The sequence below is a fragment of the Homo sapiens genome, chromosome 7, assembly GCF_000001405.40.
Source record: "Homo sapiens chromosome 7, GRCh38.p14 Primary Assembly".
Lineage (NCBI taxonomy): Eukaryota > Metazoa > Chordata > Mammalia > Primates > Hominidae > Homo > Homo sapiens.
Window position 1 is genome coordinate 67,510,588 of NC_000007.14, and position 9,773 is coordinate 67,520,360.

Consider the following 9,773-nt stretch of genomic DNA (forward strand, 5'->3'; position numbering starts at 1 on the left):
GTGAACTCTCGTGAGATCTGGTTGTTTAAAAGTGTGTAGCATCTTCCCCCCGCCTCTTCCTTCTGCTCTGGCTATGTACGGTGAGTCTGCTTTTCCTTCTTCACCTTCTGCTGTGATTGTAAGTTTCCTGAGGCTTCCCCAGAAGCCGAGCAGATGCCAGCGCCATGCCTTGTGTACAGCCTGCAGAACTGTGAGCCAATTAAACCCCCTTTCTTTACAAATTACCCTGTCTCAGGTATCTCTTTATAGCAATGCAAGAACTGACTAATACAAGGACAAAACCACAAAGCCACAGAAGCAAGGGCCAATGATGCAGCTCTGCAGAAAAGACACACTGATTTCCCCCTAGTCCTTCAGCCCAAAAGAATTATTTTGTAGAAATCCAGGCTGGATGCAGTGGCTCATGCCTGTAATCCCAGCACTTTGGGAGGCCGAGGAGGGTGGATCACCTGAGGTTAGGAGTTCGAGACCAGCCTGGCCAATATGGTGAAACCCCATCTCTATTAAAAATACAAAAATTAGCCAGGCATGGTGGCACATGCCTGTAATCCCAACTACTTGGGAGGCTGAGGCAGGAGAATCACTTGAACTCAGGAGGTGGAGGTTGCAGTGAGCTGAGATCGCGCCACTGCACTCTAGCCTGGGTGATGGAGTGAGACTCTTGTCTCTAAATAAATAAATAAATAAATAAAAGAAAAAAAAAGGAAATAGAAATCCTTGTTAAACTTCATTCCAAATGATGGAGGCTCAGCTTGACTAAGGCAACATGAAGCTGATTGACTGAATATGTCTTGAGAAGCATTTCTGAGCTGGGCTCTGTGTTGAGTGGGCCCTTTCACAGACGTTATAATATGCAAACATCCGCAATGTCATTTCTCCATGAGAACCATTATTTCCATTTTATAGTTGGAGAGACTGAGGGCTCAGGCCAGTGTCCTTAGGTCATGGAACTGTGAAAGGAGTATAAAATCTTGGGACCCCAAACTCACTATGCCAAAGGGAAAGTTAAGCTTGGGAAACTGAGTCATGCAAACACAGCTTTCCCTTTGTCCACAAACAGAGCTGTAATTTCACACGCTCACTTTATCTTGTATAAAATGTAGATCCACTCAGAGCTAGATGAATGCATAATTGACCCCCTGACCCTGTTGTCTCTTTTCACATGTAATATGTAAATTCAGTGAGGGCTGATCAAAGCCTCACAGGAATATCGCCACCTGTCACCCCCCATCTGCCCTCCCCTTTTCTTCTTTCCTCCTTCCCTTCCTGCCTGCTCTTTCCTCTTTAATTTTTTTTTTTTTTGAGACAGAGTCTTGCTGGGTTGCCCAGGCTGGATTGCAATGGTGCGATCTTGACTCACTACAACCTCTACCTCCCGGGTTCAAGCGATTCTCCTGCCTCAGCCTCCCCAGTAGCTGGGATTGCAGGTGCCTGCCACCACGCCTGGTTAATTTTTGTATTTTTAGTAAAGATGGGGTTTCACCATGTTGGCCAGGGTGGTCTCGAACTCCTGACCTCAGGGGATCCACCCCTCTCAGCCTCCCAAAGTCCTGAGATTACAGGCATGAGCTACTGCACCCAGCCCCCTTTAACTATTAAGGTCCTCAGAATCCTCTTTGAAGAATGCACAGGCCACAGATCCTACTGTAACTTTTGTCTGTTTTTCCTGGGTGTGTCCTCAACTGTGGCAAAATAAACCTCTAAATCGATGGAGACTTGTCTCAGACACTTTTTGGTTTACGGAGCTGGCAAGGGACAGAGACAGGATTTCAACCAACAACTCCTGAATTCCAGTTCACTATTCCTTCCAGAATAATAGACACCACTTCCCACATATGCTCTGAGGATACTGATTGTGACAAATTGGCTTACTAATATTAATCTGCTGTGTTTCACGTGACTGTTGAGAGCTGGCAGATCTCTTTGTCTAATTCCTCTTCTGAGTACAAGATCCCAATTAGCGCCCTGGCCTCAGCCCTCATTCTTCTCCCATCAGGAACTCCAGCTGAGCTCTTCACACACCATTCATAGCCTGCCCCGTGGAATCAGTTTTCTCCTATCTGCTCCTTTCCCCGCCTCTTCCAGAAGCTGCCAGTCATGTGGGCTTTCATTCATTGCTTCCAGGGATGGAAAGAGACAATATAATCGCTCCCTCTACACCTGTCAGGTAGAGGCTGCATTAGGCAGCTTGTTTGAGCTTGTTTTTAGTTCCAATCAAAGTGATTGAAACAGATGTACCTCGTGGGTCTTATTAAACGGCAGGGAAAATTACTCATCAGGCATCTGACTTGTTCCATGAATTCTCTGTATGCAGACAACGCTGCCTTTCTCCCCTTAAATAAACAAGTGTTTAGTTTGCTGATCAATAGTTAAGATTGGGCTGGCTGGAGGAGAATCCGTTTAATCACAGACACAGAATGGCAAACGGCCTATTGCAATGCTCCCCTGCTAAGATTTTAGGAGTAATTTTTCCCTTTGACAGAGAGAAACATTATCTGCTTCTCATTCATTTGCTTATTTATTTGTTTATTCAATAAATATTGACTGGGCACCTACCCCATCACGTGCTGAGTCCGGCGTTAGGTGTTAGGAATGTTTTAGTAATGGATTTGACAGGAGCCCTGCTTCCGGGAAGCCCACAGTCTGGAGGAACATAGAAATAAATTCACAAACAATTGCAGTAGAAGTAAATGGATAACAGACTGCTCATTCAAGCCCTGTTTATGGATATGGGTCATGGAGACAGCTTCTAAAGTGGCTCTCGATGCTGTCTACCTCCTGACATCCATGCCCACGTGTGATCCCCTGCCCTTGAGTCAGGGCTGGACCTATGACTTGCTTCTAATAAACAGAATATGGCAAAAATGATGGGATGTCACTTCCAAGATTTGGTAACTGTTGTGGATTGAATTGTGTCTGCCCGGAAAAGATAGGTTGACGCCCTAACCTCTAGTATCTTAGAATGTGACCTTATTTGCAAATAGCATCTTTGCAGATGTGGTCAAGAGAAAGTCATTAGGGTGGGCCCTAATCCAGCATGACTGGAGTCCTTACAAAAGGGACATCTGGGGCTCAGCATAGTGGTTCATGCCTGTATTCCCAGCACTTTGGGAGGCCAAGGTGAAAGGATCACTTGTGGCCAGGAGTTCAAGACCAGCCTGGGGAACATGTCATGATGTGGTCTCTACAAAAAATAAAAATAAAAATAAAAAATAGCCAAGCATGGTGGTGCATGCCTGTAATCCCAGCTACTTGGGAGGCTGAGGAGGGAGGGTCACTTGAGCACAGGAGTTTGAGGTTGCAATGAGCTATGATGGTGCCTCTGCACTCCAGCCTGGGTGACATAGCGAGACCTCGTCTCTCAAAAAAGGGGGAGATTTGGACACAGAAGTTGATATTGAAACTGAAACATCCTTCCTACCTCAGCGTCCCGAAATGCTGAGATTACAGGTGTGAGCCACATGCTTGGTCAGAATCTGCATTTTTTTTTTTTTTTTTTTTTTAGACAGGATCTCACTCTGCGCACAGGATGAGTGCAGTGGTACAATCACAGCTCATTGCAGCCTCAAACTCCTGGGCTCAAGCAATCCTCCTGCCTCAGCCTCCTGAGTATTAATAGCTGGGACGACAGGCATTTGCCACCACGTGTGGTTAATTTTTTGTATTTTTTGTGGACACTGGGTTTCACCTTGTTGCCCAGGCTGGTCTAGAACTCCTGAGCTCAAGGGATTCTTGTGCCTTGGCCTCCCAAAGCACTGAGATTACAGGCATGAGCCACTGCATCTGGCTGGAATCTACATTTTAACAAGCATTTCAGCCTATTTAGATGTAGGGGCTCTCAGATAGCACTTTGAGAAACTGTGCTGTGCAGGGTGGGTACGAGAATGAGAAGCCAGAGGCATGGAGCCTGGAGAGGTGGGACAAGCCTTTTTTTTTTTTTCTTTTTTTGGGACAGAGGCTTGCTCTTTCGTCCAGGCTGGAGTGCAGTGGCACGACCTTGGCTCAGTGCAACCTCCGCCTCTTGGGTTCAAGTGATTCTCCTGCCTCAGCCTCTTGAGTAGCTGGGATTACAGGTGCCTGCCACCATGCCCAGTTCATTTTTATATTTTTAGTAGAGACGGGTTTCACCATGTTGGCCAGGTTGATCTCGAACTCCTGACCTCAGGTTATCTGCCCGCCTGAGGTTATCTGCCTTGGGCCATTTGAGTATGATTTTCTACCTCTAAGGCCTAGGCAGGAACCTTTGTTGTATCATTCTCATTACATGTAGATATCTGGATTGACCACATGGAGGAACTGGAAGGAGGTGTAGAACTAGAAACCATGTCAAGGGGGAGTGAGTCCTGCTTCAGGTTTGAAAAAGTTAAACATATTCAGAATGGATACGGATGCAACATAAAATGATAGGAATTTACTGTAGGAGGTGATTAAGTCATGAGGGTGAAGGGGGAGTAGTGCCCTTATAAGAGGCACCCCAGAGAGCTCTCTAGCTCTCTTTCTGTTGTGTGAGGATATAAGGAGAAGGCAGCAATTTGCAAACCAGAAACTGGGCCCTCACCAGACACCAGCCTGCTGGCACTGTGATCTTGGACTTCCCAGCCTCTAGAACTGTGAGAAATAAATATTTGTTGTTTAAGCCACCCAGTCTATGGTAATTTGTTATAGCTGCACAAATGGAGTAAGCTACTACCCAATGTCCAATCTCTTCTTCTTTAGTTACAGAGCTATATTTATTTTATTTTATTTTATTTTTGAGATGGAGTCTCACTGCCACCCAGGCTAGAGTGCAGTGGCGTGATCTTGGCTCCCTGCAAATTCCACCAGCCAGGTTCAAGTGATTCCCTGCGTCAGCCTCCTGAGTAGCTGGATTACAGGCATGGGCCACCACACCCAGCTAATTTTTCTATTTTTGGTAGAGACAGGGTTTCACCATGTTGGCCAGGCTGGTCTGTAACTCCTGACCTCAGACGATCTACCCGCCTTGGCCTCCCAAAGTACTGGGATTACAGGCATGAGCCACTGTGTCCAGCCAGAGCCCTATATTTTTGAAGGTAGGTCTTGCTTGGCTAAAAATTCTTATTTCTCAATCTCCCTGGTGATGGGGTTTCCAATGAGATTGAATCAGAAATTATCAGGTGGGAATTTGGAAAAGCTCTTTAAAGGGGGTGTTTTGCTTCCCCACTACCTCATCTTCTTTCTTCCTGCCTGAAGCATGGGCATGATGCCTGGGGCTCCATTTCTGACTATGGGATAATCTCCAGGATAAAAGCCATTCATTAAAGATGCTGGGACAGAAACACTGGAGAAGGCTAGGCGTGGATGGTTTTATGGAATCATCACAACTTCCATAGACTGCCTTCCTTTGGACTTTTTTATAGGAGAAAAAGAAAAATCTCAATTTTGTTTATGAGCCAGTGTTACTTCATGTCTCTGTTGCTGGCATATTAGTCAGAAACAATATTAAATAAATGCAAACACTTTACACAATGCCCAGCCCCTTGTAAGCATTTACTAAATGGTACCTGTCATGATTGTGGTCATAGTGGTAGTGATGGTTATAATAAGCTTGGCATAAACTGCTTTGAGCTCGTAAAGCCCTGGTATTGCTTTTCCTGGCTTAGAGCCTCTGGTTCAATTTCAGATACACAAACTCAAATGATTACCAGCAAGGTTTCCTTAGTTCTTCCATCATGGTGCATTCCACATTCATCTTTAACCTATTCCTAATGTAGTCCTTTATTCTGGAAGTATCATCGGCTCCATTTTGCAGGTGAGAAACGGAAGCTCAGGGAAGCGAATTTACTACTCAGACAACGTCATGCAACAGTGAATGATGCATTGAACCCAGGACCAACCTGTTTTCTTGAAGCTAGAATGATAGCGCGGAGTGTTGTAAAGAAAATAACACTGAGTTTGCAGGTCGACAGATCTGTGTGTTAATCTTGGCACTGGTGCTTCCCAGTTGTGTGACTTTGGATAGTGAGCTCTTTTTTTTTTCTCCTTTTTTTTTGTGATGGAGTTTCACCCTAGTGTGAGTTCATCATTTTTTTAAGCCTCAGTTTCTCACCTGTAAAACGGGGGCAATAAATACAGCACAGATTACTACCTAATATGAGTGAAGTGCCCAGTCCAGGAGCTGACACAGGACAGGCACCTGAGAAAAGGTGGTCTGTGCTACTTTGTCCCCCCCTTCAGGATTTACAGGAACCACAGAAGATCACCCCGTCAGAAGAGTGTGAACCAGAGCAACTCCATCTTGAATAGGGGCTGGGTAAAATGGGGCTGATACCTACTTGGCTGCATTCCCAGATGGTTAAAGCATTTCAGGTCACAGGATGAGATAGGAAGTCAGCACAAGATACAGGTCATAAAGACCTTGCTGATAAAACAGGCTGCAGTAAAGAAGCTGGCCAAAACCCACCAAAACCAAGATGGTAACGAGAGTAACCTCTGGTCGTCCTCACTGCTACACTCCCACCAGCGCCCAGACAGTGTACAAATGCCATGGCAACATCAGGAAGTTACTTTATAGGTCTAAAAAGGGGAGCCATGAATGATCCACTCCTTAATTAGCATATCATCGACAATTAACCATAAAAATGGGCAACTAGCAGCCCTCAGGGCTGCTCGTCTATGGAGTAGCTATTCTTTTATTACTTTACTTTCTTAATAAACTTGCTTTCACTTTACTCTATGGACTTGCCACGAATTCTTTCTTGCATGAGATCCAAGAACCCTCTCTTGGGGTCTGGTTCGGGACCCCTTCCCTGTAACAACCCCACTTGGATATATTAATTATGGGTAGGGGATGACCTTCACATGGTCACAGCCTGTCAATCCAAACTGATCAGTAAAGCCAAAGATGGTTCTAAGGCCCCTTTCTCTATCTAGTGTGGCCAGAAATCCTTCAAGGCAGCTGCCTGAATTTTGTCAGGCTGATGGTTAATCTGTTTCCCTTGGGAAGACGGCCTTAGTGGTCTGCTAAGGTGCCATTTGCAGGAATAATTGGTTTGACAATAGACACACTAAGAGAAGCATCTCTGAATCCTCTGCCTACAGCCTGGGTTCCTATCACTCAGGCTCCTGGGAGCTCCCTCTCATTCCCTAAGCCAAATAGATGACACCAAGGAGAGAGAGAGAAATCTTTGAAGTGGAAGAAGGCACTTGGACTAATGGCATAATTACTCCAGATAATCATTTGCAAAGTAATTATGGACTATTGTTAGGATGCTCTATCATTTTTTTTAAAGTAATAAGGCTTTGGTTTGAGTGAGTGATTATGGGGAAAAAAGGCAATAATATGTGTGTACATTTCAACAGGAGAGAAACACTTTTCATGGCCCTTTTCACAAACCAGCATGCCCACTTTCCTGCCTCCCTAGTGCAACACCAGAAATTAACCCAGAACCCCCTCAATGGGCCCCAGTGGGCATCGCTGCATCCTCTGCCCTGCTTTGAACATCTCTGGTATTCAAATGCAATTTTGAGAAACACTGGCTATAGAACAATTTCCTAAGAAATGCATTTCCCACGAGGACAGGAAGATTTGAGGCCACGTTGTCAATGTAATGAAGCCAGGAGCCTTCAATGTGGGAAAGTTCTGGAGCTGCTCTCATGGGCACTTCAGACCAGAGCTGGGCTTCCCTAACTTCTGGCCCACCTGGTAGGATGTCTGTGGGTTCCCATCTCTCATTGTGGGCCCCACGGCTCCCTTGCACCCAGCCTACTGCCTCTGCTTAGTTGGGCCGTGGGTAGCTAATTGAGATACATATCACAATTTTAACTTTTAAAATATCATATAGTTTTACATTAGGATAAATGGGGTACATAGAAAGGCTGTAACAGAGCGTTATTCTCTGCCTACACTGAGCACACTGGTTATGTCCAGCTGACATCCTAGAGACGACTTCAGGGATGCATGGGAAGCAGGGGCCGAGATTGAGGTTGCTCTTTCTAGATGGAAATTCAGTCTAAAGATGAAGGTGATAGAGGAGCAGGGAGCTGGAAGGACTGAGATTTGGGTGGGTCCATCCAGGCCCTCCCTGAGTTGGGCCCCTCGATCCCAGAGGAAGCAGGGAACCATTCAGGCAGCCTGGCACAGAGCCGGTAACAATTGTCACTAATTATAGCTCCTGTTTCCTGAGTTTCTGGAAAGGCCAAACCCATTCTCATTTATAGCTCCTGTTTCCTGAGTTTCTAGGAAGGCCAAACCCATTCTCATTTGATCTCAGTGACAAAGGAACAGCGAGCCAGAGAGGGAAGGGATTTGCCCAAGGCCTCCCTGCCTCTCAAAAAAGAACTTTCACTTGAGGAGAGACAGCAAAGCCAGGGTTGCACAGAAGTCAGATGTCCTGTACTCTTGCCTCACGGTGTTGCTGAGCTGAGGGACCTGGGTCACGTGGGGCAGCCTGCAGATTCCTAGGAGGGGCTCTGTGGACATCATCTTTTGGTTCTGTCTGGGGCTGGCTTTTGCAGTCAGGTGGCCCACTAGCCACAGAACTGGATTCTTGTAATAGGACTGAACTGGGGCTCACTTACCTGGTGCAGTAAAACTAGATATCCACACTGAGGTTTTTGCAACAATAGCGTAAACTAGCAATACAATTCTGAGTCCCCCAACCAACTGAACGAACCCCCTCCTGGCTGAGGGGATCCTAAGAAAATCTGAAAAACTAGTTCAGCCCATGAGGTGAAGGGGAGGTCCAATATGCACTGTTTTACCCCCTCCCTTTGGAGTTTAGGCACAACTGACCAGCACTAACATTAAAATAGAGATAATGAAACCACAAAACAGACTCTGTGGCAATAAGATACCAAATTCCAACCTGATCTGGTATAGCATCACATGACAAATAGCAGGCCCTAAAGGAAATCAAATATATTTCTTTAACATATTTTGAAATGGTTCTGCAAAGCAGTCTCTAGTGGGGGAAGTCTACATTCTGTAAAGAATCTGCTTCCTGGGCCAGGCACGGTGGCTCATGCCTGTAATCCCAGCACTTTGGGAGGCCAAGGCCAGCACATCATGAGGTCAGGAGATCGAGATCATCCTGGCTAACACGGTGAAACCCCGTCTCTACTAAAAATACAAAAAATTAGCCAGGCGTGGTGGCGGGCGCCTGTAGTCCCAGCTACTCAGGAGGCTGAGGCAGGAGAATGGCGTGAACCCGGGAGGCGGAGCTTGCAGTGAGCCAAGATTGCGCCACTGCACTCCAGGCTGGGTGACAGAGCGAGTCTCCGTCTCAAAAAAAAAAAAAAAAAAAAAAAAAGAATCTGCTTCCTTTTCTAGGTCTTTTTTCTGATCAAGGAGATATTTAGCTAAGAGTCTGACACCATTTAAGATCTGAAAAGAGATATTTACCATCTATTTTCTCTGAAGCCTGTTACTTAGAGGTGTCATCTACGTAACAAGAACCTTGGCTTCCATAACCCCTGTTATCTTAACTCAAGCATTTCTTTATGCTGACTTCAACTCTTAGGCAAAGCTTAACTCTTTCAACCAATTGCCAATTAGGAAATCTTTGAATCCACTTATGACCTGGAAGCCCTGCTCCACACCCTCAAGATATCCTGCTTTTTCAGCCCACACCAATATATACTTTCCATGTATTGATTTATGTCTTTGCCTGTAGCTTCTCTCTCCCTAAAATGTATAAAACCAAGTTGTAACCCCACCATCTTGAGCACATGTTCTCAGTACCTCTTGAGACTGTGTTCCAGGCCATAATCACTCATATTTGGCTCAGAGTAAACCTCTTCAAATATTTTACAGA

At 45.6% G+C, this 9,773-nt stretch overlaps 2 annotated features.

Annotated features, from left to right (window-relative positions):
* Window positions 1,722–2,284: an enhancer, noted in NCBI's record as "NANOG hESC enhancer chr7:66977296-66977858 (GRCh37/hg19 assembly coordinates)". NCBI's record gives its function as "activates a minimal SCP1, AML or CMV promoter by ChIP-STARR-seq in naive H9 embryonic stem cells {active_cell/tissue: H9 hESC(naive)}" and the evidence as "EXISTENCE:reporter gene assay evidence [ECO:0000049][PMID:30033119]".
* Window positions 4,465–4,676: a silencer, noted in NCBI's record as "fragment chr7:66980039-66980250 (GRCh37/hg19 assembly coordinates)". NCBI's record gives its function as "represses an EF-1alpha promoter that drives an FKBP-Casp9 reporter gene in an ReSE screen in K562 erythroleukemia cells {active_cell/tissue: K562}" and the evidence as "EXISTENCE:reporter gene assay evidence [ECO:0000049][PMID:32094911]".